The sequence below is a fragment of the Homo sapiens genome, chromosome 2 (assembly GCF_000001405.40).
Source record: "Homo sapiens chromosome 2, GRCh38.p14 Primary Assembly".
In the NCBI taxonomy this organism is placed as follows: domain Eukaryota; kingdom Metazoa; phylum Chordata; class Mammalia; order Primates; family Hominidae; genus Homo; species Homo sapiens.
This window is the reverse complement of record NC_000002.12, coordinates 156,290,941-156,295,128: the sequence shown is the minus strand read 5'-3', so window position 1 is coordinate 156,295,128 and position 4,188 is coordinate 156,290,941. Positions and strand designations below refer to the sequence as shown.

The 4,188-nt window shown below is 48.7% G+C and overlaps 1 annotated feature.

Annotated features, from left to right (window-relative positions):
* Nucleotides 1,667–2,557: an enhancer, noted in NCBI's record as "H3K27ac hESC enhancer chr2:157149084-157149974 (GRCh37/hg19 assembly coordinates)". NCBI's record gives its function as "activates a minimal SCP1, AML or CMV promoter by ChIP-STARR-seq in naive and primed H9 embryonic stem cells {active_cell/tissue: H9 hESC(naive and primed)}" and the evidence as "EXISTENCE:reporter gene assay evidence [ECO:0000049][PMID:30033119]".

Below are 4,188 nucleotides of genomic sequence, written 5' to 3'. Positions count from 1 at the left end.
GCTGCATTCCAGCCTGGGCGACTTAGCAAGAGATGGATGGATCGCGGATCGGTGCGATGGATCACGACTGTAATCCCAGCACTTTGGGAGGCCGAGGTGAGCGATCATGAGGTCAAGAGATCAAGAACATTCTGGCCAACATGGTGAAACCCATCTCTACTAAAAATACAAAAATTAGCTGGGCGTGGTGGTGTGTGCCTGTAATCCCAGCTACTCGGGAGGCCGAGGCAGGAGAATCGCTTAAACCAGGGAGCCGAGATCGTGCCACAGCACTCCAGCTTGGCAACAAAGTGAGACTACGTCTCGAAACAAACAAACAAACAGACAGACAAACAAAAGATGGATGGATCACTTGAGCCAGGAGTTCAAGACAAGCCTTGGCAACATGGTTAAAACCTTGTCTCTACAAAAAATACAAAACTAGCCCAGCATGGTGGTGTGTGTCTGTGGTCCCAGCTACTTGGGAGGCTGAGGTGGGCGGATTGCCTGGGCTCAGGAAAGTAGAGGCTGCAGTGAGCCGTGATGGTAACACTGCACTTCAGCCTGGGTGACAGAAGGAGACCCTGTCTCAAAAACAAAAATAACAAAAAAACCAAACCAAACCAAAAGAAAACTAAAGAAGCAATCAGGATATGCAACCAACAGGTGAAAATGTAAGGAAAAAAGTATTCCAAAGCTATGTCTGTTAATAAAATATTACGCCATTTTCCTGGATTTTGTTTTGTTTGTATTTGTTAGATTTTAAACATTTGTGATTTTTTACTTTAAAATATTTATCTTCATGGCTAATTTCTTTTTTTTTAAATTTATTTATTTTTTATTGATAATTCTTGGGTGTTTCTCACAGAGGGGGACTTGGCAGGGTCATAGGACAATAGTGGAGGGAAGGTCAGCAGATAAACAAGTGAACAAAGGTCTCCGGTTTTCCTAGGCAGAGGACCCTGCGGCCTTCCGCAGTGTTTGTGTCCCTGGGTACTTGAGATTAGGGAGTGGTGATGACTCTTAACGAGCATGCTGCCTTCAAGCATCTGTTTAACAAAGCACATCTTGCACCGCCCTTAATCCATTTAACCCTGAGTGGACACAGCACATGTTTCAGAGAGCACAGGGCTGGGGGTAAGGTCACAGATCAACAGGATCCCAAGGCAGAAGTTTTCTTAGTACAGAACAAAATGAAAAGTCTCCCATGTCTACTTCTTTCTACACAGACACGGCAACCATCCGATTTCTCAATCCCTTCCCCACCCCTCCCGCCTCTCCATTCCACAAAGCCGCCACTGTCATCCTGGCCCGCTCTCAATGAGCTGCTGGGCACACCTCCCAGACGGGGTGGTGGCCGGGCAGAGGGGCTCCTCACTTCCCAGTAGGGGCGGCCGGGCAGAGGCGCCCCTCACCTCCCAGCGGGGGCGGCTGGCCGGGCGGGGGGCTGACCCCCCCAACCTCCCTCCCGGATGGGGTGGCTGCCGGGTGGAGAGGCTCCTCACTTCTCAGACGGGGCGGCTGCCGGGCGGAGGGGCTCCTCACTTCTCAGACGGGGCGGCCGGGCAGAGATGCTCCTCACCTCCTAGACGGGGTTGGGGCCGGGCAGAGGTGCTCCTCACATCCCAGATGGGGCGGCGGGGCAGAGGCGCTCCCCACATCTCAGACGATGGGCGGCCGGGCAGAGACGCTCCTTACTTCCTAGATGTGATGGCGGCCGAGAAGAGGTGTTCCTCACTTCCTAGGTGGGATGGCAGCCGGGCGGAGACGCTCCTCACTTTCCAGACTGGGCAGCCAGGCAGAGGGGCTCCTCACATCCCAGATGATGGGCGGCCAGGCAGAGACGCTCCTCACTTCCCAGACGGGGTGGCGGCCGGGCAGAGGCTGCACTCCCGGCACTTTGGGAGGCCAAGGCAGGCGGCTGGGAGGTGGAGGTTGCAGCGAGCCGAGATCACGCCACTGCACTCCAGCCTGGGCACCATTGAGCACTGAGTGAACGAGACTCCATCTGCAATCCCGGCACCTCGGGAGGCCGAGGCTGGCGGATCACTTGCGGTTAAGGGCTGGAGACCGGCCTGGCCAACACAGCGAAACCCCGTCTCCACCAAAACCAGTCAGGCGTGGCGGCGCGAGCCTGCAATCGCAGGCACTGGGCAGGCTGAGTCAGGAGAATCAGGCAGGGAGGCTGCAGCGAGCCGAGATGGCAGCAGCACAGTCCAGCCTCGGCTCAGCATGAGAGGGAGACCATGGAAAGAGAGGGAGAGGGAGAGGGAGAGGGCTAATTTCATATTTATAATTTTATATTCTTTTTCTTAAAGAGAATCCTCGAAACTGTACAAACTTAAGCCCTATACAAGCTGCATCAGCCCTGTCTTATGGCCCCTCTCCATACTGTGACTCTAACTGGGATCTGGTAACAGCCCCCTCACCTTGATCCTTTGGGCCTAAGGGTAATAATCACCCTTTGTGACTCCCTAAGGCAGCAATTCCCAACCTGTTTGGCACCAGGGACTTGTTTTGTGGAAGACAATTATTCCACAGACCGGGGGAAGTGGGTAGGGATGGTTTTGTCATGAAACTGTTCCATTTGATCTGACAGGAGGCAGAGCTCAGGTGGTAATGCTAGCTTGCCCACCCTGCACCCCTTCTGCTGTGCGGCCTGATTCCTAACAGGCTATGGACTGGTACCAGTCCTCGGACCTGGGGTTGGGGAGCCCTGCCCTGGGGATCCCTGCCCTAAGAGACTTATAATTTTTTGTTGATTTCCTTAAATCATGGCTTCTCAACCTTGGCACTATTGATATTTTGGTTAGAAAATTCTTTGTGGTGGGGGCTGTGCTGTGTAGTATAAAATGTTTAGCACCGTCTTTTGCCCTGACTCACTAGAAGTCAATGGAACTTCCCAGCATGACAACCAAAAATGTCTCCAAACTTTGCCACATGTCTGAGTGGAAAAAACACCACCCCCAGTTAAGAACCACTATGCTATAACCTTATAAATGATCCTTTTACTAAAATCCCTTCAATTGCTCCTTTGAGTTTGCCATTTTTTTTCTAATAAGATGGTTACAGATAATTTTTCAAAATGACAAGAACATATATAAAATTCTGATAAAGATTAAACATGGGTACCTTACCTTTGTTTTAAAAGAAGAAAACAACTGTGCATTATATTCCTGTATGCAAAGTTAAATTCTGATGCAAATTATTTCCAAATGCTAAGTAGCTTGAAAGAAAGGAAAAATATGCATAATAAACCACAAGTATAAAAATGAAAAAAATGCATTCTGGAAAAAAAAGCATAATATCAATGGCTAAAAACAGTGAAGAAAAAAGTATAAAAATCACTAAACGGGCTCAGATGATTCAACCAAGTTAAGCAGGGAGCATCACAGAAGGAACAAAACAGAGGTAGCTAGAGACAGCACTTCCCTTGATGGTGGAGAGAAGGAGGTTGGCAAGTCCTCTTCAAAACTGACTGTAAAGCTGGATAAAATTGTAAAAAATAACCTCTAGAAATCAACCAAAGGGAAACAACAAATTGAGAAATGTTTATTCATAAAAATTGCTGAATATCAGGTAAAAACAGTGGGAGTTTGTGGTGTTCTTGCCTGGGACTGTTTCCTTCTCTGGCCCTCTTTCCTCAGCCTGGCTGCAGCGGTAAAGCCAGGACAGAAGTAACTGTGGAAAACATCAGTTTCACTGTGAGAGAGGCTGGCTTAATATGGAGAGGAGGGTAAAAAATTTAAGCCCAGTGGTGTTGTCAGTAAAAATAACAAACTTGGAAGAAAATGAATGAAGAAAGCCCACAGCTCTCCTAGGCTAATATTATAGTCCTGTTTAGGGCAAGAAACAGACCAGCTGACAAGCCAAATATTTAATAAGGAGATCCTGGAAATGAGACAAGTCAGGGGCTAGAGAAGCTCTGCACACTCCCTGGGTGATGGGGAGGCTGTTCACTTGAGCGATAACCCAGATTTTTGTTGAAAGTAAAAGCCAGGGGAACCTTAGAAAGTGCTCTATAACCCACACACTGATCCATCAGCAAAGGGTGGAAGACTTTATTAGCTCAAGATGTTTGAACACATTCTCAGTTCAAGTATTGGTTGGCTGCTATGAAGTCAGGGTGACCCCTGGGAAACCAGGTTAAAAAAATTGAGCAGAGACACCAGTTCCTACACTGCAGGAGGAAGAAAGATTACCCAGATT